Raw genomic sequence first — 26363 nt, forward strand, 5'->3', positions numbered from 1 at the left:
GGGGGGAGCACATTAGAAAGGCAGCTGCCCCCTTTCTTCTCCCTCAGCCTCAATGTCACCCCTTTTCTTCTTCAGCCTTTTCATTCTGGCCTTAACAACTATCACGTCTTCATACGGACCAAACTGTTGCAAGGCGCCACTTTTAGATCACGCACTGCTTTTCCCTTCCCCGTCCACAAGTTGGATCCAGTTTTGGTTTTGTTTTCATTTTTGATTTTACTTTAAGATAATTTTTTAGAGCAGTTTTAAGTTCATAGCAGAGTTGAGTGGAAAGCACTGCGTTCCTCCACACCCTCTGTGCGTGCACACACACGCGCACGCACACGCGCACGCACACGCACACGCAGACGCACGCACACGCACACACGCACGCACACACACAAGCACGCGCACACGCACGCACACGCACACACGCGCACGCACACACGCACGCACACGCAGACGCACACGCACGCACACGCACACACGCACGCACACACACGCACACACAAGCACGCATACACGCACGCACACGCGCACACACACACACACACACTCAGCCCGAGCCAGTGCAATACACTGGTTCCAGTCCATGACCAAGGTTGGCTCCAGTGCTTCAGGCGTGAAAGTGCACCCTCCAGGGAGTCCCCGTTAGTACCAGGACGGTTGGGAGGGAAGGGCTGCTGAGGACAAGTTCCACTTGTCTGATGAGGCTACAGCCGACACCCCAGACTCCCTCCCATGAGGGCAGGACTCTGACAGACACAAGGGCACTTTTTCATGCTTGCCCTGTAACAGCTTTCACACCGCCAAGACCCAGAGATGGGCGGCTGGTTTTCCTCCGGTGTCTTAGGGTGCTGGGGGACAGGGGCCAGTCATCATGTTCATTCAAAGTCAGGAGCCTGTGGAATATCTGACATCATTTACTCACTGCAGACACATTTATCAAGGGCTGTCTTTGTTGAGTGAGTTGAAGTTTCCTGGGGAAGGCGTTGGATTTCCTACCTTCTCGGAGATGATGGTGGCAAATCCAGCTCTCAACGGCACTGAGTCCGTTCCTGTTTTCCTTGGCTCCACAGCTGCAGAAATAACCACCAGCCAAGCCTCACACTTTCCAAGGCACTGTGAGGCCCAAGCCCTCACTGGGGCTCCACACACCCCAACTCCATGGTGCAGGCAGGGTGTCTTTCCTTCCTGCCTCAGATGGGGAAACTGAGGCCAAGACAAGTAAGTTAGCGGTCAAGGCCTGACTCCACAAAGCCTTCCTTGTTTTCATGGGGTCAGAGCTGCCTGCGGTCCCTGGGAGTTTCAGTGGAGCCCACAGGGAATGTTATACAATTCCCCTGCCCATGTGAGAGGGCCCTGCCCATGTGAGAGGGCCCTGCCCGCTAGACAGATAGAAAGGCAGTTATTATTACATTATTCATCCTCCTTCCCAAGATTCAGGGGCTTTCATCTCTGAAATGTACAACATTTTTTAAAGTGCCAAATTCTCTTTTTAAAAAATCGCCATCATGTATTGTATTTCTAAGTGTGTGGGGGACCCCGTGCTGGGTACTTTATGCGTGCAGAGGCTGATCCTGTGACAGCCCTGCAGAGGACAGGCAGCTGTCAGGATCCCTTTTCAGGGTGTGGTGGGGGTTGGGCCCGCACCTGGAGGAAAGCCAGACACCTGCCCAGATCAAATGGCACATAGTGGGAAAACTACCTTATTGCTTTTTAAAAGAGAGACAAGGTCTCGCTCTGTCACCCAGGCTGGAGAGCAGTGGAGTGATCCTAGTTCACTGCAGCCTCCCAGGCTCAAGCGATCCTCTCACCTCAGCCTCCTAGGTAGCTAGGATTACAGGTGCACACCACTGCACCTGATTTTGAAAATTTTGTAAAGATGGGGTCTCACTATGTTGCCCAAGCTGATCTTGAACTCCCAGGCTCAAGCGATCCTCCAGCCTCAGCTTCGCAAAGTGCTGGGATTACAGGCGGGTGCTCCTGTGCCAGGCCTGTTTTGCCTTTTTTTTTTTTTTTTAAGGGAATTTGCTGGGAGTCAGGAAGAATAATTTCCAGTTCTGGAGAATTCTTGGTCTTCCTCTCTGGCTTCCATATGAAGTACCTCCCTCCTGTTTCCTGGGTGCATCATCACAACCCATCAGCTTCAGGGTTCATCCAGAGCAGCCTCAGCGGATTCATGTCCCCATGTTGCTGAGACTGCTTAACTGTGGGTCTCACTCCTTACATGCTAACTTCACCTCGGAAGGCGCAGGGAGCTTCGCTGTGGCTCTGCACACTCAGTAGGATGTGCTTCTCGCCAACAGAATCAACCAAAGGACACGTTCCCCTTCTGTCACTAGAGAAGGGCCTTCAGCTCCCATTTGGGATGTGACTACAAATTGATTTTTAATTAATTTGTATCCATTAATCCACTCCATTCACATTTATTAAGCATCTATTAAGTGCCAGATACTGTTCAATCTATTCAGGTATGGTGTATTTGTGAGTTGCAGGTAGTTTTCTTTTGTCGAGGTTTTTAAAGATTTTTCATCCCCAAAGAGACCCTACTATTTTCCCCCAATGCATTTTAAAACTCTTTAACGCAATAAAGTACTAGATGTAAAAAAAAAGAACTATAAAGTAATTTATTTCAGAGGCTGAGGCAGAACCCCGGGAGCAGCCGAGTCCTGGGATGTGAGCTCTCACTCGCTTGCTACTCACAAGGTTATTACCACTGGGGGCCAACTTGGAGCTTTACTCAAGGAAGGCGATGCAGCAATGGGCAGATATTCCCCAATCACCAAAGGCCACCGAGCATCCTCGGAGGGTCCGGCACCTCCCTCCGCCCCAGCTCAGGCTGCCACGGCTGCTCCTCAAAGAACCCTAGGTTGTGTCCGGCCCAGGTGGGATTTTGGGCAGGGCTACACCATCCTGCCAGCTGCACTCCTGGACAGGGAGGCCCATCACGCTCCTTAATGGCCTCTGGTCCAGGACACCCCTGATCAGTGCATCCTCATGGGGGATGCTCAGTGACTCTGTCACTTGCTTTGACCTGCACAGTTGAAGCAACAGTTCTGTTTGTGCCTGTTTAAAATATGAACATGGCAAATGACACTTGGAATTTACCTTAAATGCATTTTAGAAGTGGCTCTGAATTTCCATCTAAACTGAATCCAAATCCAAGCCATCCTAACTTTGGGCATTCCCTCGTCGCCCATGCGTGATGCTCTGTTGCAAAAAGAAGAGGAACAGGCTAGCTTCACCCCGTCTCTCTCCAACCACATCAGTCCTTCGGGAAATCTTCACAGAGCAGCCAGGATTCGAACCATGTCCCTCATGCTCAGCTACTACCCTGGCCTGAGCTTCCCTCCCCTTCCTCTTGTACGGGCACTTCACAATCAAACCGCAGCAGGAGTGCTGCTGAGAGAGACCTCCAGAGGCCCGGTCTCACACGGAGAACAAGTTGCATGGCCTTTTTGTTTTCTTTCCAATGCCCCGTGTAACTCTGAGCTGTCTTGATCCTGTTGCCTGACTCATGTCTAACTACTTTCCACCTCGTCCACTCTATTCCAGTCCTGTTGCCTCCTTGACATTCCTCAGACCTGCCAGGCACATCCCCACCTCAGGATGTTTGACCAGCTGTCCCTCTGCCCTCCCCAGACATCTGTCTGGCTGTGCCTTCACCTTCAACTCGTTCTGGTGAGGCCTGCCCTGACCACTGTATTCAAAATGATGCCCTCTCTCCAGCATCTCCAGCATCATTCCCTGCTTTCATTTTCTACATGGCCCCACACTTCGCCATTGCTTATTATCTCCCCTGCTAGATGGTGGGCTTCCTGAGGGTTGGGTTTTGTCTATTTTGTTCATGGATATAGCCCAAGTCCCTAATATAGTGCCTGCCTAAGTCCCTAATATAGTGCCTGGCACATAGTAAAGATGCAATAAATAAGGCTCCATTCATTCATTTGTTCAAGAATGATTTATGATTTATCCAGTATTCACTATGTGCCAGGCAGTGGGCTGGTGCTGGGGATACACAGGAACATAGGCCAGATGCATTCTGATGGAGAGGACTGACCGCATATCTAGAAAGAGGCAAGTCAATAAGAAAGTTCGGATGGTTACAGATACTGAGAAGACAGCAGAGTGAGCACCTGGGGAAGAGTGTCTGGGGAGGTCTGGGTTAGGCACGGTGGCCAGGGAACACGCGGGGAGGTGGTGGCATATGAGTGGAAACCTGGAGAGTGAGAAGGAGCCAGTTGTGGAAGCTCTGAGGAAAGAACATTCCAGGCAGAGAGAAGAGCAAAATCCCAGGCCTGGAGCTGGGGCTGAGCCCGGCCTGTTCAGGAGACCTAAAGAAACCCAGGGGGGCTGGAGCCCCAGAAAATCAGAGTGAGTAGGTGGCAGTGATGAAGCGGATCATTGCAGGGTGGGCCTCCCACGCTTCGAGGCCTTGCACACAGCACTTAGTGTCTCTGAGCCCCAGTCTCATCACCTTTTGCTAAGCAGGCATCGTACCACCCATCCCCAAGAGAGCTTTGAGGACTTGATGAGACGCAGCATGCAGAATGACCAGCACAGTGCACAGCCTGCAGCAGGCATGCAACAGAGGGCACTTCGAGATGGGAAGTCCTGTAATTCAGTAATGTCTAAGGGCTGTGGTCCAGGATGAGGAGCTCGTAATCCTTCCATCTCTCCTTACAGTTTCCTGCCCGGCTCTGAACACCCCCGCAGACGGCAGAAAGTTTGGAAGCAAGTACTTAGTGGATCACGAAGTCCATTTTACCTGCAACCCTGGGTTCCGGCTGGTCGGGCCCAGCAGCGTGGTGTGTCTTCCCAATGGCACCTGGACAGGGGAGCAGCCCCACTGTAGAGGTATCGTCTCTCCTTCCCATCCCACTGCGCTGGACCCATCACAGTATAGCAAGGGTTTCTTGCATAGAAAGGGTCATTCCTTGGAACATTTTCTGCTTGGTTCTTTAATCATTCCTCAACCACAGAACAGCAGCCAATGTGCCTGATCACTCACCTCCATGCCAGGTTGGCGCTGGTCTCTATCTGTATGAGCTCACTATATCTTCACAATAATTTAGTCTTGTTTTGCATATGGGGAAACTGAGGCACACAGAGGTTCAAGAACTTGCCTAAGGTTACACAGCTAGGGGGTGGGCGGCACAGTTAAGATGCTTGGCACCTGGACACTCTGACCCCAGAGTCTGCGCTCCTTCACACCACTCTCTGCTCTGGACACCAGTGACTTGTTCTTATCAATGTGAGGGCAAGAAGCTGCTCATGGGTTGGGGAAAGGGACCAGAGGAAGGTACTGCAGGATGATGCTGCTGTGGCTGCTCCGTTCTGGGCCTGCAGTCTGTCTGTGAGGCTGCTGGTAACCTCTGGGGCTGAGGAAACTCCTCAGGTGTCCTTTCTGTCTGCATTGGGACTTGGTATCAAGAGGCTCCAGGAGAGTCCACTGTGTCGGGGAGGCATGAGAAGGCTTCTCTCTGTGCTAGGTTTAAAAACAGCACTTTTTTGATATAGAGGAAAATCAGCCTTGGCACAAAAATCTGTTGGCTTTTCAAAAACCCATGGTCAAAAAAATCTTGGCTACCATTCACCAGTCATTTTCAGAGCAAGGTTCGTGGGACATCTGCTGAGGCAGAATGTCCATGATTCTAGCCAAAGAGTTGAAGGAGAAACACGGACATTATATAAACAAGAAGATTGCAAAAGCAGAGTAGAGAGAGGACTTTGTTTTTGTTTTTGTTTTTGTTTGAGACGGAGTCTCGCTCCGTTGCCCAGTCTGGAGTGCAGTGGCATAATCTCAGCTCACTGCAACCTCTGCCTCCCGGGTTCCAGCGATTCTCCTGCCTCAGCCTCCTGAGTAGCTGGGACTACAGGTGCCCACCACCACGTTCAGCTAACTTTCGTATGTTTAGTAGAAAAGGGATTTCACCATGTTGGCCAGACTGGTCTCCAACTCCTGGCTTCAAGTTATCTGCCTGCCTCGGCCTCCCAAAGTGCTGGGATTACAGGTGTGATCCACCACACCTGGCCAAGAGAGGACTTTGGATGCTTAAATTACTTGAAAACATAGAGGAACTCCAGAAAGTATGCCATCCCTAAAGATGAGTATGGATTGCCATGAGAAGCTCAGGGAAACCAGAATCACATTTACAATTTAGGCTTCTCTTTCCTGACCCCTGGAAAGAGTGATGATGGTTCAAAGGTTGATGACTGGCTCTCAGACCCACCTAGGAACCAGTCAGGAAGTAAAAGTCATGTAACATGCGAACAAAACAGGGGAAATGCCAATATCTGGTATTTACTTACTTGACTCTGAAAGATCTCAAGCCAGGTTAAGCACCTCCTGGGTGATAACCCATGGCGGGGGAGATGGGTACACACAGATATTTCATTTTTATTGTTTTGGGTGTCAGTATTTTTAACTTACAGATTGAGTTACAGACCCTGGTTGGTTTCCTTCTCGGTCTACTCCGCACTTTCAGGACCCATTTGCATTGCCACGTGCAGTCTGCTCCAGTGCCTCTGATAGCTGCCTCGTCCTCTCTGGGGTGCACCCCCACATCTGATCTGTCCACCCCCTGCCATGGGCACCTGATTGCAGTCAACTCCCGGCCACCACAAACAATGTTGACAAGGCCTTCTTATCGCCCTACTTTGTCTCTGGGCTGTGTATCTGTGGCTGGAGAGGGCCTACTGGCTTCAGGCTCGCTTTGAACTGAGCACTGCCTGCCACTCAGCAGAAGGGCTGCACCTGCCCACGCACCCCCAAGCGGTGCTGCAAGCGAAAGCACATCTTACTTATGTGTGTGCTGTTTTTTCTTGCTTGCTCAGATATTATCCAAATATTCTGTCCTCAATGGCGACATACTACAATGCACATCATGTGATTAAAATGAAAAGATGAGTTCATCAGAGATGATAGCAGAAAGAATGCCTTTTTAGGGAGATAGATACAAAACACTGGAGGCCCAGGAACATAGTCGTGAGAAGTGACTCAAGCAAAGGAACATGTGGTTACTTGACAAAGGTGGAGACCCAAAGCGCTCCCCACAGTCCATCTCCATCCTAGTGGCTCGCCAAGAATGCCTTTCTAGAGGATCCTGGGTGTGTCCACGAGCTTCCTTCTTGACCTTGGTTGCTTTAGTTATGCATTTGCACCTGCCTCGCTGCAGCAGGACCCCCTCAATGGAAAAGAGGGTCCTGCCGTGTCCTAACTTGTGCCATGATCTCAAACATTCAGGTCCTCCAGAGTCACCCAGGAAGCTCATGAAAGATAGATTCTGAGGTCTCAAAAGACCGATCCAGTCGGAACTTTTATAGATGAGACCCAAAACATCTGCATTTTTAATATGTTCCCTAAGTAATACTGCTGTTAACTAAATTTTGAGAAGCACCACTTGGTTCGTTCTTGCTATTGCCAGAAGCAGAAAATATATTGAAAATTTTGAAGTGCTAATGCATTTTGGGCCCAAACCAGTCAGAATGACTGCCAGCCACAGGCAAAACAGTAGACAGATGTATGTGTGTCATCTCTGTCCAGGAAAGACACGTTATGTTATGTTATGTTATGTTATGTTATGTTATGTTATGTTATGTTATGTTCACTGCTACTTGCCCTGATGTTTTGGGAAGGCCAAGCCAACTCTTACAAAGATCAGAGCCCACAGCCCTGCTGAGCAGACTTCCCTTTCTTGAGATGTGGAGGGCGGACTTTGCCTGGAGGACCATGGTGCAGAGCAGACGGTCCCACCTGCCAGGCGTCCAGCAAGCCTACTGACCTTTCCCGTGGTCCAACGTGGTATCCTCCCGAGTCTTGCCCTTGGACGTACCAGTTCATTCCAGATGCACCTTGTGCTCGTCTCTCATCTCCCCATAGCCTCCTGCATAGCCCTTTTTCCTTCTACCCTGACTTCCACACCAAAGAGCTGCATGATGCAGCCCACCTTCGGGATGCCTACTCAGACAGCATGTGCTATCAAAAACTTGGGAAGGACTAACTCAGGGAACAAGGTGATGGCCAGTCCAGGATGAGATCTTAGATGGAGATTTTTCTTCTCTTGAAGCATAGATGGGGCCTGGGCATTGACCCCATGGTGGTGATTGAACAAAAATACTCATGTGTTACAACCAAGCTGCTCCAGCAGCTGCTGGCCACGGCCCCTCCTAAGTGAGTAGACTCTGCCTGCACCGACACTTCTGTTCTCAGCAGGAATTGATGTGATTCATGGTTGTTGTCTCCAGCAAGAGCCTCAAAGCGGTGTCAGCCAAACTTGCCAGGAGGGAGAAATAGTGCTCCTGACTGCTGTTTGATGACCAATTGTGACAGTATTAAGGGTGTGGACGGGACACAGGCTGGAACTCAACAATCTAGTGACCAAACCTAGAAACTTACCAGCAACCACTGAGCACACCCACTGCATGTTCCAAACCACCAGTCGTGTGGTTGCCATGTGTTATGACCACAGAGTGGGGGTGGGGCATAATCTTCTTAATTACAGAGAATTCATTTCAAGGCCCAAAATATCAGTGCCAGTGACAAATTTGGCAGTGCTGTCATAATTGTCCCTCACTCCAACTCTAGTCAGCTGCTTGGAAAGACAGTGATGAACCCAACTTGGCAGGGAAGGAAATTGTGTGTACACAATTACGCCATTAAAAAACAGCAGGCAGGCCAGGAGCGGTGGCTCACGCCTGTAATCCCGGCACTTTGTGAGGCCAGGGCAGCAGATCACCTGAGGTCAGGAGTTCAAGACCAGCCTGGCCAACGTGGTGAAACCCCATCTCTACTAAAAAATACAAAAATTAGCTAGGCGTGGTGGTGGGCACCTGTAATCCCAGCTACTCAGGAGGCTGAGGCAGGGAGAATTGCTTGAACCTGGGAGGCAGAAGTTGCAGTGAGCCGAAATCACACCACTGCACTCCAGCCTGGGTGACACAGCAAGACTCCGTCTCGGGAGAAAAACAAACAAACAAAAACAAACAAAACAAAACAAAAAAACAGCAGGCGTAGGTGGACTCCAGAACTCCAGAGTGGAAAGCAGCCACTTGGCTTTCTCCATTTCTCCTTTATTTTCCTTTTTTCCTCCTCCTTTCTCTGAAGGCCATGTTTTTAAGACGTAAAGCTTTCTGAATTGGTAACCATAGCTGAAGATCTTGTGCCTTTGACAACGTGGGTAACCAAAGAAACGAATTTGAGAGATATAAATACCGTTGTCACTTATCGTCATGCTGGTGGAAAGGAATCTTTGTCAGTCGTCCCCACCCTTTATTTTTAACCTTCATTCTTTCATTCAGCCAATTTTTACTGAGCACCAGCCATTCACAAAGCTGGTGCCAGATGCCAGGGACTCAATGTCGAATCCCACAGACACGACCCTGGCCTCTGGGGTGCACAGGCTAAGAGGGGAGGCAAAGCAAAGCAGGCAGCCACACACCAAGGGAAGCGAGCTGACGTTTGTGGTGAGGGCCACACATGACCTAACAAGGGACAGAGTAAACAGCACGGGGCAAGGAGCAGTTGAGGGCCTCTGAGCAGGGGACAATGACACTGAGATGAAAGGAGGAATGGGATCTAGCCAGGCAAAGAGCAGGTAGTTGGGCAGCACAGGGCAGACACTGTTTTAAGAAAAGGAAGAAGGGGCCAGGCGCGGTGGTTCATGCCTGTAATCCTAGCACTTTGGGAGGCCGAGGTGGATGGATGACTTGAGGTCAGGAGTTCGAGACTAGCCTGGCCAACATGGTGAAACCCCGTCTCTAATAAAAATGTAAAAAGTTAGCTGGGTGTGGTGGCAGGCGCCTGTAATCTCAGCTACTTGGGAGGCTGAGGCAGAAGAATCGCTTGAACCCGGGAGGCGGAGATTGCAGTGAGCTGAGATCGCACCATTGCACTCCAGCCTGGGTGACAAGAGCAAAACTCCATCTCAAACAAAACAAAACAAAACAAAAACAGAAAAGAAAAGAAAAGAAAAAGAAAAGGTGAGTGGATCACTTGAGGTCAGGAGTTCGAGACCAGCCTGGCCAACTTGGCAAAACCTCATCTGTACTAAAAATACAAAAATTAGCCGGGCATGGTGGCATGCGCCTGTAATCCCAGCTACTCTGGAGGCTGAGCTGGGAGAATCACTTGAACCCGGGAGGCAGAGATTGCAGTGAGTCGAGATCATGCTACTGCACTCCAGCCTGGGTGACAGAGTGAGACCCTGTCTCGAAAGTGAAAAAAAAAAAAAAAGAAAAGAAAAGGAAGGAGAATGAGCAAAGACCCCCAGGGAAGGGAAGAATTTGGCACAATTGAAGAAATGAAAAATGAAATTATAGAACCTTGTTGCTGGAGATTATATGAGCTGAGAGTGAGCCAGGTGAGGTGGAGAGACACGCAGGCCAGCACTGTAGTCATGGGCCATGCAGGTGGTGGGATTTTAGTTCTAAGCCCAATAAACAGGGTTAAGACAAGTGTCGCTGCTGCATAGAGAATGCATTGGAGATGACAAGAATGGAAGCTGGGAAAACACATAGGTGGCTATTGCAGAAGTCCAGGGGAGAGATTGTGGCAGCGGAGATTCTAGGTATTTTTAGAGACAGAACTGATGGAATTTGCTGCCATCCCATGTGGGCTGTGAGCCAGGAGGAGAAATCAAGGCTCCCAGGCTCAGGCTTGGATGATGGTGTGCCGGGTGTCATTTACAGAGATGATGAAGACTGAGCGATGGATGTGGTTTGTTTTTAAACAGCTCGTGTGTGGGTCATTGATCAGAATTCCATTTTGGACATATTACGTTAAAATGGCTGTGCGACAGACACCCTAGTGGAGATCCATTCATTCCACCCTAGATGGGTAGACATCGTCTGGAGCTCAAGGCAGCAGAAGGGTTGGAGGTACCCAGTTGGGAGTTATTTGCATAAGATAGTACTGAAATCCATAGGCAGTGGAAGGAGGACCTGCAAGGAGAGGATGGAGACAGAAACGTGACTCAGGCAGAGACCTGCAGGGCACTGAGAAGTCAAATGGAGAAGGAGGAGGGCGAAAGGAGACAGGAGGGGCCGGGAGAGGCAGACTTCGGGGAGGCTGTGGAAAGCAGGGCCAGTGGTGCTGGATGGAGTTTTGGAAGGGCATTTTGCAGTGAGAAGGGAGCAGAGCTTCAGTCCACCTCACCTTCTGTATCATGAGGCCTTTCCCCCGAGACCTTTAAAAAAAAGATTTGAGTAGAAAGAGCTGCCTTTTAAATATATAGTAGACACTCAATAAATAGTTACTGAGTAACTGACTGGCTGGCTGATTTACCAAATGATTAAATTAATGAAAAAAAGATGAATTTCCTTCTAGTCTTTTATCTAAGCACATACACATACATCCAAGTCGCACATATTCAGTATCATCTGTGTATAGATATTAACGTGAGCAATTTTTCATTACCTCTTCTTTCTAAATGTAACTCTTTATGATTAGGAAGCACTTCCTCCTAAGGGCTATTCTAGGCTTTATTAAATGGCACAATCTTGGCTCACTGCAAGCTCTGCCTCCTGGGTTCATGCCATTCTCCTGCCTCAGCCTCCCGAGTAGCTGGGACTACAGGTGCCCGCCACCATACCCGGCTAATTTTTTTGTATTTTTAGTAAAGACAGGGTTTCACCGTGTTAGCCAGGATGGTCTCGATCTCCTGACCTCATGATCCGCCTGCCTCGGCCTCCCAAAGTGCTAGGATTACAGGCGGCGCTAGCCACCGCACCCGACCATTAAGCATCTTAAAAGATTTTTTCACTATGGAAAGTTTCAAACACACCAAACTACAGAGAATAGTAGAATGAACTTATGTACCTAAAATCCAGTGATTAACACAGCAAATTCCTTAACATCATCAATATCTAATTAGAGTAAAAATTCCCCCAATTGTCTCACACTTTTTTAACACTTTGTTTGAATCAGGGTCAAAATCAGTTTTATAACTTAGAATTGGTTGATAATGTCTCTTCTGCCTCAGCGAGTGTCACTACCATCCTTATCTGATGTCTGTTTAGTTAGAGCAATTTCCTGAGTTTTCCCACTTTCAAAAAGTGTGCAGCTTTTTTACTGGTTGTTAGTTCCATTGGATATAAAACACCTATCTCACATTTTTCTTGAGTATCTTATGTCACTCTGTGTCTTCTGTTTTAAACTGATGCTATTGTGCTACTATATTTGTCTTTTTGCCTGAATGCCCCCAAAATATATTCTTTTTCTTTAAAATTCAGTCATTTGATTAGGATCTGTCTCAGTGCCAGCCTTTCTGGGTCAGTTTTCTCAGGTATGGAATTCACCTTTTCTTTTTCTTTCTTTTTTTTTTTTTTTTTTTTTTTTGAGACAGAGTCTCACTCTGTTGCCCAGACTGGAGAGTAGTGGCGCGATCTTGGCTCATGCAACCTCTGCCTCCTGGCTTCAAGCGATTCTCCTGCCTCAGCCTCCCAAGTAGCTGGAACTACAGGTGCCCACCACCATGCCCGGCTAATTTTTTGTATTTTTAATAAAGACAAGGTTTCGCCATGTTGGCCAGGCTGGTCTTGAACTCCTGGCCTCAAGTGATCCACCCGCCTCAACCTCCCAAAGTGCTGGGATTACAGGTGTGAGCCACCACACCTGGCTGTAAGTTCGTCTTTTCAATAGGAAGTTTCAGTGGCTGGAACAGCCTGCCCCACAGGAACCTCCAAAATTTTCCAGGGCAAAGTCTTAATATTAAGGAGACTTTAACGGGAGGAGAGTCCAAACTGTGCACAACAAGGAAAATAGGTGCAAATGAAAGAGATGGTCATCCAGACAAAAGTGCAAAGGAGGCAGAGCTGAGAAAGTGTGAGGCCCTGTGTTTGCTCACGTTGGAAAAACAACAGAAGTGAAGTGAGAATTTCAGAGTCATGAAGTTAGCAAAGCTATATGGAAAACATTTCACTTAATTATGAGTAATGAAAAGGATTCTTGACAAATTCCTTAGAGGATATTATAAAAAAAGAGTAAAATTTCTATAGACAATAAAGAAATGCCGGAAAGACATGGCCATAAAACAGATAAAAACTATAACCTAGAGTATCACAAGCTGAAAGAAATGTTTAAAAGATAAAAGCAAGGAAAGAACAGTTTAGATAAAAATGAGAAAACACTCAAAAATGAGGTGATTGGAAAAATGAAAAACAGGAAATGAGTTGATAGAACCCAGGAAGGAATTAGAAATAAAAGAAAAAAGTCAGGAAGGAATTAGAAATAAAAGAAAAAAGTCAGGAAGGAATTAGAAATAAAAGAAAAAAGTTCGGTCATGCATATAAAATCCTTAGCTAGGCTTCATGAAAACAGTAAGATGAAACTTACTTACGTGAAGTTTCACCTTCACGAAACAGCAGATGAAAGCAGAATTATCATCTGGGCTTTGGCTTGCCAGCCCCTGCCATGCACTTGACTGAATGCCACAGCCTGGGACATACGTGCGTGTGATGACAACTGTACTTCAATCAGGACACAGAGTGGGTGCCGGGCTGGACATCAGGCCATTGGATGCCTCTGATTGCATATCAAGATAACAGATAAAGAGAGTCTGAATGCAGCCTGTCTAGAAATGAATACACTGGGTGGATCCAGAGAGGGAGACAGAGTGTACGGTCCTGGGACAGCTGTGCGTTTCTCTGCTGCACCGATGATCCCCAACACCCATCCACATGGTTCAGGTACAGATCAGGCTCAATGCCTTCTTTTGGCAGGCAGCAAAGGAGAGACCACAGCACTGGCCCTACTGGGGCCAAGCTACAAGATACTGGTGTTCACATTTTCTGGCTCTCTGCCCACAACTTCACGGCCTAGTGATCTGCCCACTTCCAGACTACGCTGGTGGGCAACCATGGAGCTGGACAAGGGATAACAGTAACCCCAAGCTCTAAGCAACCCCAAGCATTTGTGTACAGTCATTTCAGACACATTCCTGGAAACCGGTCTTCTGCAAACAGAATGTATGAGGGACAGTGCAACCAGGCTGAGGTTACTGAGAAACTGAAATGGCTCCTTCTCTAGGGATGAGCAGCATTCGGGTGGTCTGTCTTTTTGCAACAAATAGAAACTGTTTAAGAGTCTAATGACATCCCAATCTCCAGGAGGCTTAAGGGAAGCCTAAGTCCCTCCCATTCCACCCAAAACAAGTCTGTCGTTCTCATTAGGAGCAAAGCACCTGTTTTTCTTCCTCTTGATAGACACACAGGAAAGGCTGCTTTTATGCCAACAAGGAGGTGTTTTCAGTTTTCTTTCCGAAGATAATGTGGTCAAGTCAGTGAACTGACAAGCCTCTCTCTGATGGAAATGGCCTATTTCTGTGCACTAAAACTGGGCTTAGGGAATTCATAACAAGCACATGTGGCCTATGGGGTTTTTTTTGTTTGTTTGGTTGGTTGGTTTTTTGTTTTTGAGACGGAGTCTCATTCTGTCACCCAGGCTGGAGTGCAGTGGTGGGATCTCGGCTCACTGCAACCTCCGCCTCCCGGGTTCAAGCGATTCTCCTGCCTCAGACTCCCAAGTAGCTGGGATTACAGGCACATACCACCATGCCCAGCTAACATGTGACCTCTAGGTTTTAAAACAATCATTTTTTTTCTAATTAAAAAAAATGTATACATGATTATTATGGGAAAAGGGAAGAATACAAAAAATTATAAACTAGCAAAGAAAAATCACCTGTAAGCCTACCACTCAGAGAAAAAAAGTCTACTGAGCTTTTTAAAATAACAATCTCTCTCTACAAAGACCTTTTCCACAGAAGTGTCGTGTAGATGAGCAAGGAACGTCTCCCTTTACCAATGTTAAGGAAATGTCAAAAAACTCTTACCTGGTCAAGCACAGTAGGGCTTCTGGTTGGGAATTTGGAGAATTCATTTTCCCCAACCCTGGACATTCCAGTGGGCCATCCCTCCCCTTTATAACTGCACTGAATTTTGTTCCTGTTTAAAAATGTTTCTCCCAGGTGCTGGCTGATGGAGCAGAAGGGTTGTGGGTTACAGGGCCTGACTCAAAGGCAATGTGGGCAGATGCCCACAGGTAGCCACTTCTGTCTGGCTACAGCTGTCTACACTGCACCTTTGCAAATTAGAAAATGGTGCCTGTGGGTGGGGTATGGCCAGCTCATAGGCCAGCTCCTGCATGCAGAGCCCCAGGTGGGCAGTGTGTGCCTGGGTGCAGGGCCTGCTGAATGGAGATGCAATAGGGCTGCATATCAGCCCCATCGGCCCCCTGGCAGCTCTTGCGGGTGGAGAGGGTGGAAAGAGTGGGTGGGGTCAGGTAGAAAGTGGGAGTTCTCCTACAATGTAAAGGAAGTTAACCCTTCATCAGTTTTTTATTGTATTTGTTTTAGACCTAGAACTCACATCCGTATATTTGAAAATTATTTATCTTCCTAGGTATCAGTGAATGCTCCAGCCAGCCTTGTCAAAATGGTGGTACATGTGTAGAAGGAGTCAACCAGTACAGATGCATTTGTCCTCCAGGAAGGACTGGGAACCGCTGTCAGCATCAGGCCCAGACTGGTATGTAGCCACCATGGGGTTAGGTGAGGACATCCTGCTGTGGGGAGAGGAGGACCCTAGGCATAGGTCCCCAAATGCAGACATGTAGGGAGCTCAGTCCCCCACTCAAAGATGTAGCTTTTCCTCTCTGTTTCACATCCACCGATCCCTCTGGTTTTCTAAGGTGGTCACTTGACAGAGCTTAGCTCTTTGATGCAACCAGAGTTTTGACCCTTCTTATAGTAGAAAACACAAGCGCAAGAACTGACTCCCAACGTAAAAATCCCCTAGATTGGGAATGTGGCCCAAGAAGTTTCACTGTTGCCACCTTTGCTTGGTCAGCATTTCTTACGCCAGCAGAACCACCTTTTCTTTCCAGTGTTCCCATTACATCTTGCAAAATTAGCAGCTATTGATGCAGGCCCAAGTATTTTGAGAGCTGGATAACTATACATTTGACTGGTTTTGAGATTACTATTCACATCTTGAGTCTCAACATATCTCGACCCAGAGAGTCTAAGAAGTCACGTGGTGCCTGGTTTTGCATATGGCAAGAAAATCCAGTGATAAGGAATCTGTGGAGGATGGACAGGGGTTCCCGCACCATGATGCAACCAAGATTTCATTCAGCCCCAAAGATATCCTATTCCTTAGCCACAAAAGTCTGGTGTGTTATGCCTGTTTGTCTTTATTTCTGTATGAAATATCTGTGGGGGGAAGGGACATTGGGGCTAGTGCAGTGTCCAGTGGATAAGAGCTTTATCAATACTTATGATCCTGGCACTGGACCCAGCCCAAGCTCAGGTTTAAATAGTGCCCCAAGAGATTTGCTGCTTAATATGCCCTGATTCAGTTCAGCTGAGTCAGCTGGCTGGGCACTTTCTCAAAATGAGGCTGTCCTCCCGAGCTCAGAGGCCCCTTACAGCTCCTGTCCCTGGAACTGCTTTCTATGGAAACTGAGGCCAGAGACAGGGCTTTCTTGGAGACCTCACTGCCTCTCCCCTTGTTTACAAACAAGAGGGAAAAAGAAATGGGTTCCCTTCTGCCCTAAATATGCCAGTCCTGGTCACTGAATGTTCTAAACCCCACTCTTTAGGGTTTCCTCCCACTGTGGGATTTTTTTTTTTTTTTTAAGATGGGAGTCTCACTCTGTTGCCCAGGCTGGAGTGTGCAGTGGCACCATCTCAGCTCACTGCAACCTCCGCCTCCTGAGTTCAAGTGATTCTCCTGCCTCAGCCTCCCGAGTAGCTGGGATTACAGGTGTCTGTCACCACTCCTGCCTAATATTTGTATTTTTAGTAGAAACGGGGTTTCACCATGTTGGCCAGGCTGGTCTCCAACTCCTGACCTCAAGTGATCTGCCTGCCTTGCCCTCCAAAAGTGCTGGGATTACAGGTGTGAGCCACCATGCCCGCCCAAGGATCTTTAGACAATTGTTGCTCAGGTCCAGGGGGGCCTGTTATAAAGTGTCCCCATGGCCAGAATCTTCCCCAGGAATGGGAAGGAGGGGAAGCAAGCAGGCATATCCAAAGCCAGCTCCTATCCTCATAGTCTCCATGAACAGCCATCACGCATCTGGGCTCTTGCTCACCTTGTCCCTCAGCCTGACACCTTCCTTCCCATCAGCTGGCCCATGCCTTTCCAGTTCCCTGGAGGAGCATCCCTCCAATTCCTTTTTTAAAAATCCATTCACCCTATTTTTTATGATGATAAAACATATATATAACATAAAATTTACCAGTTTCATCCTTTTTAACTGTACAGCTCAGTGGCATTAATCACATTCACATTGTTGTGCGACCATCACCACCATCCAGCTCCAGAATTCTTTTTGTCTTGCAAAACTGAGCTTCTGTACCCATAACAGGACAACTCCCCATTGCCCTCCCCACAGCCCCTGGTAATCACCATTCATTCTTCTTTCTGTCTCTGTGAGTCTGACTGCTCTAGGGACCTCATCTAAGTAGAATCATGCAGGATTTGTCCACTTGTGTTTGATTCCCATCAATCCTTGAAAAACTTTCAGAAAAATAACATTTTTTCCTGATTAGAAATATAATTTGGCCAAGCATGATGACTCATGCCTGTAATCCCAGCACTTTGGGAGGCTGAGGTGGGTGGATCATTTGAGGTTGGGAGTTTGAGACCAGCCTGGCCAACATGGTAAAACCCTGTCTCTACTAACAATACAAAAAAAAAAAATAGCAGGGTGTGGTGACGTGCACCTGTAATTCCAGCTGTTCAGAGGCAGAGGCAGGAGAATCATTTGAATGCGGGAGACAGAGGCTGCAGTAAGCCGAGATCGTGCCACTGCACTCCAGCCTGGGTGACACAGCGAGACTCTGTCTCAAAAAGAAAGAAAGAGAGAGAGAGAAAGAGAAATTTATGTTCCTGGCAAAAACCAAAAATGTGAACACTTTAGAAAAGTACAAGAAATACAAAAAAAAAAACCAAAAGAAAACAAACAAAAAAAAACCAGGAACAAAAAATAGTGGCCCATGAACAGACCAATAATGAGCTCTGAAATTGAATTGGTCATAAATAGCCTACCAACCAAAAAAAGCCCAGGACCTGACGGATTCACAGCCAAATTCTACCAGATGTACAAAGAAGAGCTGGTACCATTCCTACAGAAACTATTCCAAAAAACTGAGGAGGATGGACCTCTCCCCAACTTATTCGATGAGGCCAGAGTCATCTCGATACCAAAACCTGGCAGAGACACAACAAAAAAAGAAAATGTCAGGCCAATATCCTTGATGAACATTGATACAAAAATCCTCAACAAAATACTTGCAAACCAAATCCAGCAGCACATGAAAAAGCGAATCCACCATGATCAAGTAGGCTTCCTCCCCGGGATACAAGGTTGATTCAACATATAAAAATCAATAAATGTGATTCATCACATAAACAGAACTAAAAGCAAAACTACATGATTATCTCAATATATGCAAAAAGGCTTTTGATGAAATTCAACATCTCTTCATGTTAAAAACTCTCAACAAACTAGGTATTGAAGGAACAGACCTCAAAATAATAAGAGCCATCTATGACAAACTCACAGCCAACATTGTACGGAATGGGCATTCTCCTTGAAAACTGGCATAAGACAGGGATGCCCTTTCTCATCACTTCTATTCAACGTAGTATTGGAAGTCCTGGCGAGAGCAACAGGCGAGAGAAAGAAATAAAGCGCATCCAAATAGGAAGAGAGGAAATCAAACTATCTCTGTTTGCAGATGACATGATTCTATATCTAGAAAATCCCAAAGTCTCGGCCCAAAAGTTCCTTCAACTGATAAACAACTTCAGCAAAGTTGCAGGATACAAAATCAATGTAGAAAAATCACTAGCATTCCTATATACCAACAACAACCAAACTGAGAGCCAAATCAGAAAGACAATCCTATTCACAATTTGCCACACACACACAAATAAAATACCTAGGAATACAGCTAACCAGGGAGGTGAAAGATCTCTATAATGAGAATTACAAAACATGGCTCAAAAAAATCAGAGAAGACACAGACAAATGAAAAAACATTCCATGCTTATGGATACAAAGAATCAATATCATTAAAATGGCTACACTGCCCAAAACAACTTACAGATTCAATGCTATTCCTATCAAACTACCAAAGACATTCTTCACAGAACTAGAAAAAAATTACTTTAACATGCATATGGAACCCAAAAAGATCCTGAATACCCAAGGCAATCCTAAGCAAAAAGAACAAAGCTAAAGGAATCACATTACCCAACTTCAAACTATACCACAAGGCTACAGTGACCAAAACAGCATGGTACTGGTACAAAAACAGGCACGTAGACCAATGGAACGGAATAGAGAGCACAGAAATAAGGCCACACATCTATGACCATCTGATCTTTGACCAAGCTGACAAAAACAAGAATGGGGAAAAGACTCCTATTCAATAAATGGTGCTGGGATAACTGGCTAGCCATATGCAGAAGACTGAAACTGAACCACTTCTTACACCACAGACAAAAATCAACTCAAGATGGATTAAAGAGTTAGATGTAAAATCCAAAACTACAAAAACCCTGGAAGACAACGTAGGCAATACCATCCTGACAGAGGAATGGACAAAGATTTCATGACAAAGATACCAAAAGCAATTACAACAAAAGCAAAAATTGACAAACGGATTCTAATTAAACTTAAGAGCTTCTGCATAGCAAAAGAAAGTATCAAAGGAGTAAACAGACAACCTACAGAATGGGAGAAAATATTTGCAAACTATGCATCTGACAAAGGTCTAATATCCAGCGTCTATAAGGAACTTAAATTTACAAGAGAAAAACAAACAACCCCATTAAAAAGTGGGCAACGTACATGAACAGAAACTTCTCAAAAGAAAACCTACAACAGGCCAACAAGCATATGGAAAAAAAAGCTCCATATCACTGATGATTAAAGAAATGCAAATCAAAACTATCTGGTATGAGATACTATCTCACACCCCTCAGAATGGCTATTATTAAAAAGCCAAAAAGTAACCGATCCTGGAGAGGTTGTGGAGAAAAGGAAACCCTTATACACTGTTGGTGGGAGTGTAAATTAGTTCAACCATTGTGGAAAGCAGTATGGTGATTCCTCAAAGAGCTAAAAGCAGAACTACCACTTGACCCAGCAATCCTATTACTGGGTATATACCCAGAGCAACACAAAACATTCTACCATAAAGACACATGCACTCGAATATTTGTTGCAGCACTGTTCACAATAGCAAAGACATGGAACCAACCTAAATGCTCGTCAATAACAGACTGGATAAAGAAAATGCGGTACATGGGGCTGGGCGTGGTGGCTCACGCCTGTAATTCCAGCACTTTGGGAGGCCGAGGTGGGCAGATCACGAAGTCAGGAGATCAAGACCATCCTGGCTAACATGGTGAAACCCCGTCTCTACTAAAAAAATACAAAAAAATTTGCCCGGTGTGGTGGCGGGCGCCTGTAGTCCCAGCTACTTAGGAGGCTGAGGCAGGAGAATGGCATGAACCCGGGAGGCAGAGCTCGCAGTGAGCGGAGATCGTGCCACTGCACTCCAGCCTGGGCGACAGAGTGAGACTCTGTCTCAAAAAAAAAAAAAAAAAAAAAAACGAAAGAAAAAAAAGAAAAGAAAATGTGGGACATATACACCATGGAATATTACGCAGCCACAAAAAAGAATGAGATCATGTCTTTTGTGGAAACATGGATGGAGCTGGAGGCTACCATCCTTGGCAAACTAACATAGGAACAGAAAACCAAATACGGCATGTTCTCACTTATAACTGGGAGTTAATTGATAACAACTTATGAACACAAAGAAGGAAACAACAGACACTGGGTCTACTTGAGGGGTTGGGGAGGAGGGAGAGGAGCAGAAAAGGTAACTATTGGGTACTGGGCTTAATACCTGGGTGATGTGTACAATAACCCCCTGTGACACGTGTTTATCTATGTAACAAACCTTCACATGTTGAAGGTCTTCAAACCTAAAATTAAAAATAATAAAATAAAGAATACACACACACACACAAAGAAACAAAAAATAGTGGCCCATGGTTTTAAACTCTAGTGATCACCGTTAGAATTTTGGGGTGTTCAAGTCTTTTTAAGTGAAGACGTGGATTTGCCCCAGCTGTCCTTCTCGGGGTGCGGCTTGGTGGCCTGCATTTTCCTGCACCATTCTATTCCAGGGCGCTTCCTTTCCCGCGCCCCCTTCGCGTAGGCCCTGGACGGGTCGTCTGGGTCTGTGGTTGATTACTTGTCTCTCCTTTCCCTACTCCAGAGTAAGCCCTTTGAGAAGGGGCCGTGCCTCCGTCTTGGTTCTGCTCCCGGCCCCTACCCAAGGTCGGGCCCACGGCAGGTGCGCCAGGGCCCGGCACTGAGCGTGTCTTCTCCCCGCAGCCGCCCCCGAGGGCAGCGTGGCCGGCGACTCCGCCTTCAGCCGCGCGCCGCGCTGTGCGCAGGTGGAGCGGGCTCAGCACTGCAGCTGCGAGGCCGGATTCCACCTGAGCGGCGCCGCCGGCGACAGCGTCTGCCAGGGTAGGCGCGGGCTCCGCCAGGACACTGGGGACAGCACGGGGAGGACATGGGGCGGGGAAGGGGCTCTCACCCACCGCCCTCCTGCCGGCACGGGTGGCTTCCTGCGCGCGGTCTCAGAAGGCCTGGCCACTTTGCATTATAGGTAAGTGTTGACCTAGTGATGGCTAGAAGGCAGCTAATTCACAGAAATCAGAGCTCGCCCCGCCTCAGAACCTGGTCCAGCCTATGCCCAAGCCACACGCGCTTGGTTCAGGAGAGCCTTGAGACCCTCCATCCCCTCCGCCCTGGCTGGAATCACGTCTACGGGTGGCAAGGAGGAGCTTAAATCGCCGTGTTGGTAGAGCGGGCCCGGAGCTGGGTAGGGGTGTGGGACTCATTCCTTGGTCCCCTCTGGGCTTAGCTTTCCTGACGGCTCAGTTTTGCTGTGCTCTCCTGATTACCAGAGTTCTCTCCCCAAACAACGCAAAGCAGGAGTTCAAAGCTGAGATCTGGTCAGTTGGTGCTAATAGCCTCATTTTACAGCACAGAAAGGAGGATTCCCAAAGATAAAGAGAGTTAACATGGGGCTGTTAACCCATCCCTACTTTCTGGGAATAGGCTTGATTTGCCAGCCTCTGCAGGGTCTCCCCAGGTGTCTTCAGCCTAAGACAGTGATGCCTTTCTAGGGCCTAGCACTTCAGCTCCCTCTCACTCCTCCTTTTAGCCCTCTGGGCCCTCGGCTTAGGAGAAAGGGAAGCACACCTGCTCCTCTTGTGAGTGCTCTGCTGGGGGTAGGGCATGGCGGCTGCCCGAGGCCCAGCCACTTAACTGCAGCTGCCACTGCCTCCAGGAATTGAAGCATGATTGTTCTGGGTCACAGCTGGCAACACTTGCTGCATGGCTCCTAAAGTCACAGTGAGCACTTCTGTCTGCAGACGTGAACGAGTGTGAGCTCTACGGGCAGGAGGGGCGCCCCCGGCTCTGCATGCACGCCTGCGTGAACACCCCGGGCTCTTACCGTTGCACCTGCCCCGGTGGATACCGAACTCTGGCTGACGGGAAGAGCTGTGAGGGTGAGTGAGGCTACAGAGTGTCGTCTGCACCCAGCCACCTGCTGCTGTGCTGAACCCCCAGGACCTCACAGTCGGGAGTGAGGTGGTTAGGAGAGTCACAGTTTCAGATACATTGGATTTTTAAAAAGCCACCAACCAAAGGGCTTCTCAAAGGTCAGGCCACATTATCATCTACATAAATAGGAAAATGAGTTCCTTAAACATCTTGGCAACTAGTCTTTTCCGACTTTATTTGAGTAAATGGGTTTTTTGTTTTCTTCAAGGTCTGGTCAATTCTACCCACTCAACAATTCCTTCAGCTAGGGCTGGGCCTAAAGGCAGAGTGGCCAGGTGGTCACCCATGTCATGTAATCTGGAGGAACCCATGAGACTCCATGACCCTGTGTCCACCTGTAAGTCCACCTCTGAAAGGGGCAGCACCTTACAGGCACTTATGTCTTAGTGAGGTCGGGCGCTACAGCACCAGCCTTGTCTGATGGTAGCTGAGGACAACAAGGGAGGCGGAGCACCCAGGGAGGGACAAGAGTCGGGGGCATCACTACCCCTGGCTTGTGAGGTACAGGAAGTGAGGGGGCTTATCAGAGCCTGAAAGATTGTGGCTCTGATCAAGGACACAGCCTCCATCAGAACCACATCCAGGCAGGTCAGGACTCCTCAGGCTGGGTCACTGTCATTTGCCAACCCCAGCTAAAAACCAGTCAGCCTCTCAGGTGCAGAGAGTGGGTTGGGGGGCAGCGGCGCAGATGGAAAATAACTGGCTCAGGTTTCACCCCAGTGCTGAATCCTGTCCATCAGCAGTGGTTTCCTGGAGGGCCGGGTTGAGGTTTCTGAGGCTGATTCCTGGCAGAGTGGGAAAGAACATCTTAAGTTGACAAGGAATGTCTGCAGCAGGGATGGGAGGCACCTAAGAGATTAGGAAGGATGTGTGCAGAGTGGGTTGGTTGTAGAACAGAGAGGCTGAGAACCCTCGCAACAGTCACCATCATCACTACAGGACAAGTCCCAGGGACACTGGGTGCCTAACAGGAAGCCTCCTGTGTTTCCCCACCTCCACTTAGGGAAAATACAGATGTCAGTTGATGTAGACATGCTGAATCTCCACATGAGCTGAGTCAGAGCACACATCTCAGGCCTGAAGCCCAAGTGGGATCATCCTGACCCTTGGCCCTTAAACCACCATGCTGCAGTGGGCCTTTCGGGGGGCTGGTTCTGCTCCTGCAGGCATACCTCACACTAGGAGGGTGGACAGGCCCACCTCCCCAGCTGGACTTCCCCCATGGAAACAGGACACAGAGGGGAGCCCCGCTGGCTCCAGATAACAGCTCTGACCCACCAAGGGAGAACGGGAGAAGAGAGGGCAGAGGGCTCCTCCATGGGCTGACGTGGGAATGTGAGGGGAGAGGTGGCTCCCCGGTGACATCCCATTGGGGCCCCGCTGCAGGGCTCTGAGGAGTGGGTGACCTGGGGCTGGAGCAGGAGAAGGCATCCAGATAGCCACCCACACTCCCTCCCTCCCACAGTGCTCACGAAGGCCCACCTGGGGTTGCTTGGGGTTGGGAGGGACGGCCTCCAGCTGGGGAGACTCTCTGGATGTCTGCAAAGGGAGCAGAGAACTCATACAAATCATGATATTGAGGTGTCTGCACTCGCATGGGGTGAGGCTGGCAGGGAAGACTTTCTAGAAGATTCTAATTTAAAAAAAGTGTGTGTATATATAGTATATATAGGTATATGGTATATATATGCTGTATATGGTGTATATATGGTATATATATGAATATGGTATATGTATATATATGTATATGGTATATATATATACACACACCATATATACCATATATACGTATATATGGTGTGTGTATATATATACCATATATACATATATATATATACCATATACATATATATACACACACACATATATATATATGAAGAATAACAGCCATGGAGGGTAATGGGGCACTTGGGCTGAGAAGCAGACAGGTCTAAGAGAAGCATTGTGACCAGTAACACTCACCTGGTGCTTTCCACCATCCTTGCCACCTGTCATACCCCAGGGAAAGAGGACAGGATCCCAGGGAGGGGCACTCCCTGGCATTTCCTCAGGGCCCTGATTCCACACAGTTAAGGAAGGCAGGCTTTCTGCTTTAAGAATAAGTGCCAGGAGCAGGGAGCACCACATTACAGGACCTGCAGGGCCTCTCATGTGGTTCTGTCTGCAATGGAGGGAAGGTCAGGGCGATTCTCACCTGTTGTATGTCCTGTATCTCAGATGTGGATGAATGTGTGGGCCTGCAGCCGGTGTGCCCCCAGGGGACCACATGCATCAACACCGGTGGAAGCTTCCAGTGTGTCAGCCCTGAGTGCCCCGAGGGCAGCGGCAATGTGAGCTACGTGAAGACGTCTCCATTGTGAGTATCTCCAGGGGAGGCACACCCTCACCCAGGCCTCCAAGTGTGGCTGGGCTGGATGCTTCCTAGAGGTTCTTGGGAGAAGGTACAGTTATACCATAGAAAGATGAGAGGCAGGAGGCTGGGAGGCTGGTGTCTCTGAATTTCCATTTCCGCTTAGTGGTTGCATTTAATGCGTTGCTGCTCTGGAGAAATAAGAACCCCATTCCCCATGGGAGTAATATACTAAGTGCACCCCCACTACATAGAGGTTGATGGGGTTGCTGCCACCCCAGGATGGCAAAGCCAGGGCAGGCACTGAAGGGAAGAAGCTGTTGGTGACATTACCCTGATAAACCCATAGCAGCCCAGGAGACAGGTATAGATCACATGGATTTGGGAGGTGACAGCATTCACATAGCCAGGAACTATAGACTCCCTTGAGTTACACTGCATATCCCGTGCACCCTGCATTATATCACTCTGCTTTTCCAATAGTACTAGAAGGTTCTACATCTAGTAACTGCAACTCTTAAACAGCAAGTAGAGCTTTTTTTTTTTTTTTTAAAGTTGGGAGATGGGCCTTTAAGGGGAATGACTACAACTATCACAAAGCACATACATTTTCCTCTCAAAAAGAGATCACAAGAGCCCTAGCGTTGTCTTTAAAATGAAGTAACAGCCATGGAGGGTAACTTAATTATTTGAATTGCTGTTGAGTTAAAGCAGATTAGAAGCAGCAAGAAACTTAGTGGCACTGAAGCATGGCAGTTTTTAGAGAGAGTGAAGACATCAGAACCTTCCTCATGAAGTCACTCGGTGAAGGGATAGGGAACGGGTCTATGACGGCCTCTGGGGCATTCGACCAACAGCTGGATGTGACAGTTGACTGCATAATCATGATGCTACAGAATCGCCAAATATACTAGATTGCATTTGTCTTTTAACAACATAGAGAAATATCGAAAGCATTTCCACAAGACCCTCTTTCCAAATGATTAAGGAAAACAGGGCTTCCTGCGTTGAGAATACACGTGATGGCCAGGCACAGTGGCTTATGCTTATAATTCGAGCACTCTGGGAGGCCGAGGAGGGCGGATCCCTTGAGATCAGGAGTTCGAGACCAGCCTGGCCAGCATGGTGAAACCCCGTCTCTACTAAAAATACAAAAATTAGCTGGGCGTGGTGGTGGGCACCTGTAATCCCAGCTACCCAGGAGGCTGAGACAGGAGAATCACTTGAGCCTGGGAGGTGGAGGTTGCAGAGAGCCTAGATCATGCCATTGCACTCCAGCCTGGGCGACAGAGTGAGACTCTGTCTAAAAATAAATAAATAAAATACATGCTGCTGTGTTTAGGAAGTTCACCGTACACCGTG

At 47.9% G+C, this 26363-nt stretch overlaps 1 protein-coding gene across 10 annotated transcripts in view, besides 1 other annotated feature; it reads left to right on the forward strand.

The window, feature by feature from the left end:
- FBLN7 (fibulin 7) overlaps positions 1–26363 on the forward strand; it is a 106324-nt gene that overhangs the window by 21948 nt on the left and 58013 nt on the right. For 6 of the 10 annotated variants that reach the window (XR_007069507.1, XR_007069508.1, XM_006712260.3 and 3 more), the window contains exons 3-7: positions 4669–4839; positions 15382–15507; positions 21407–21544; positions 22459–22596; positions 24869–25007. Coding sequence is in view for 8 of the 10 variants with exons in the window: in XM_006712260.3 (XP_006712323.1) it covers positions 4669–4839; positions 15382–15507; positions 21407–21544; positions 22459–22596; positions 24869–25007 (712 nt within the window). In the remaining 2 variants the exon portion in view is untranslated. Of the gene's footprint in view, positions 1–4668; positions 4840–15381; positions 15508–17723; positions 20614–21406; positions 21545–22458; positions 22597–24868; positions 25008–26363 lie in introns of those variants that run through there. The other 4 variants (XM_047443319.1, NM_001128165.2, XM_047443318.1 and 1 more) reach the window with 3 other exon arrangements.
- Positions 7972–8485: an enhancer, noted in NCBI's record as "NANOG hESC enhancer chr2:112925881-112926394 (GRCh37/hg19 assembly coordinates)". NCBI's record gives its function as "activates a minimal SCP1, AML or CMV promoter by ChIP-STARR-seq in primed H9 embryonic stem cells {active_cell/tissue: H9 hESC(primed)}" and the evidence as "EXISTENCE:reporter gene assay evidence [ECO:0000049][PMID:30033119]".

Source organism: Homo sapiens, chromosome 2, assembly GCF_000001405.40.
Source record: "Homo sapiens chromosome 2, GRCh38.p14 Primary Assembly".
In the NCBI taxonomy this organism is placed as follows: domain Eukaryota; kingdom Metazoa; phylum Chordata; class Mammalia; order Primates; family Hominidae; genus Homo; species Homo sapiens.